This window comes from Homo sapiens, chromosome X (genome assembly GCF_000001405.40).
Source record: "Homo sapiens chromosome X, GRCh38.p14 Primary Assembly".
NCBI lineage: Eukaryota > Metazoa > Chordata > Mammalia > Primates > Hominidae > Homo > Homo sapiens.
The window spans coordinates 141,697,099-141,699,318 of NC_000023.11; the positions used below are offsets into that span (position 1 = coordinate 141,697,099).

Consider the following 2,220-nt stretch of genomic DNA (forward strand, 5'->3'; position numbering starts at 1 on the left):
CTAGGAAAATATCAAATGGAAAGGGGATGGGAATACCTTTGATATGTCCATTCAGCAGAACTATGTGCTGCTGGGTACAGTTGCGTGAACATATACACATCTCCACTTCCTGTGAGATAAAATTTTAAGAAGAAAATTTTCTTTAGGAATCAGTCCTCCCCCAGGCCTTATTTACAATGTCTGGCTTACTGTCAACCTGTGGGTCTGTCCACCAACCCTACAGGACCTCATATCCCTCCCTTCTCAAATGCCTACCTCTTCCCTTCCCTTCACCCCCCACCATCAGAAAACAGGCAGAGATATACACAGCCATCAGCTTCTCAAACTTTATTGTCATTGCCCAAGGTTGAGAGATGTAGCTTCTTGCTACTTTGCAGGTATTTCAACCATTATTTCCATGAATTCCTCCTCCTCCATTTGGAGGGGGTTGATTCTGTTCTTTCGGGCGTGGTCATTCACCAGTTCCTCTGGAGATGTTCTTTTAAAGTTCCTCCTGTAGCGAACCACTAGTATGGTCGAGGACTCAGATGTTTTTAGTTTTTTCGGAGCAGGTTGCGGGTCTGAGTACCCACTCGAGGTCTCCGGCATCTGTTAAGAAAACAGGGAGAGGCCAGGAGGACATTATTTTGGGTGAACAGGATAGAGACTGGATAGCAAGGGGGCTTCATGAGAAGAAGGAATGCGGGTTGAGGAAGGGGTTTGATCCAGAGAAGAAGAAGGTTGAAGCACAGAGTAGGGATCTATGGGGAAGAAGAAGAGGAGCGTGGGTAGGGTCACCTGTGAGTCCAAACTGCACCATTTTGTCAGTTCTTTGCTATTTTGCAGACCTTGGTCAAAGTGAAACATCCCATGGGGGTTCAGGCCGTGAGAAACATCCTGCCTAACCACCTGTCCGCAAGGCGGACAAAGGCCCAACTGAAGAAACATCCCTATCATATCTTGCTTGGCAGCGTTCTAAGGAACACCACAATGATATTCCACCAGAAAAAGGGCCAAACCACCTGATCATAAGAACATCTTATCAATATCCTGCCGGGCAGCAAGCCATACTGCCCAGGCCCCTCCCACCCCTACCTACAAGCACCCCAGCCTGTAAGCGGCGGTGGGCTCTGGCATTAAGCGGGCCCCCCACTTCCACAATGGTCTGCAATATTCCTGTGTTGTTGTTTGAGCCGCCCCCGCTCTGTGTGTCTTTCTTTCACCCTCGCCTTCACTTCAGAACCTAACAGTCTTACCATCTCGTTGGCCTCGTTGGAATCACAGGGGACGCTCCTCTTCACCCCGCCGGCACTGGATTGTTTGTCCATTGTATATATTGGTTCTTCAATGTCAGCGGCAGGCTTTTGTAGGTTTTGAATCTTCTCAGTGGCCCGGAGCTCTTGCCCTCCCTATGTATACCCTCCTGGTGACAAGGCAAAGCCACACCCTTGAGCTTTGTTTGATCATACAGGCAGTGTCCCAGCCAATGGCAGCCCTAGGGTGGCTTCGACGTCACAAAGCCCCACTGCTGACCACTCCCTGGGCTTGCGGGCGAGGGGTGACAGGGGTGTAGAGCAAACCAAATGCTGCTGTTGTTTCAGCATCCCCTGAAGATGCATCCCAAACCGATCTGCCGCCGCTCCTCATTTCTCCATGTTTAATGTTCACGGTTCACATGGAAGTCAGAGGATGATTCCTTCAAGCCCTTCCCCACAGCCATTCCTATTAAGTGATTCATTCTTTTGTCTTCCAGCCCTCACCATGACTTAGTATTTTCGATGTCTCACCTCAAATCCCCCAAGCTAGTGTGGCTACATTTATTTATTGGCGGAGATGTGAATTATCCCATTTCCCTCCTACAGTTCCTTCACATGCACCTCGAAGACCATTTACTTTTGGGCTACTGCCAGGCAAATTTCAACCCATGTTCTTTTACCCAATGTCCGTGTAGTTCAAGTTTCCTATCTCCAATCTGAAATAATGGCCTTCAGTCTGTCAAAACTTTAGTGAATAAACATTCTTTACCGTGTATCCTAGTCTTGTTTCAAATCAGGGGTGTATATTTTTTTCTCTTTTTGAAATGGAGTTTCACTGTTGTTGCCCAGGCTGGAGTGCAATGGCATGATCTCAGCTCACTGCAACCTCTGCCTCCTGGGTTTAAGTGATTCTCTGGCTCAGCCTCCTGAGTAGCTGGGATTACAGGCCTGTGCCACCACGCCCGGCTAATTTTTGTATTTTTAG

The 2,220-nt window shown here is 48.3% G+C and overlaps 1 protein-coding gene across 1 annotated transcript; it reads right to left on the reverse strand.

Annotated features, from left to right (window-relative positions):
• Window positions 1-312: 312 nt before the first annotated feature.
• SPANXD (SPANX family member D) lies at window positions 313-1,641 on the reverse strand. Its single transcript, NM_032417.4, has 2 exons — window positions 1,236-1,641; window positions 313-588 (listed from the first exon to the last, which is right to left on the reverse strand). Exons 1-2 carry the CDS (start codon window positions 1,305-1,307, stop codon window positions 367-369), a joined length of 294 nt encoding a protein of 97 aa, NP_115793.1. The 5' UTR covers window positions 1,308-1,641; the 3' UTR covers window positions 313-366.
• Between the last annotated feature and the right edge of the window lie 579 nt (window positions 1,642-2,220).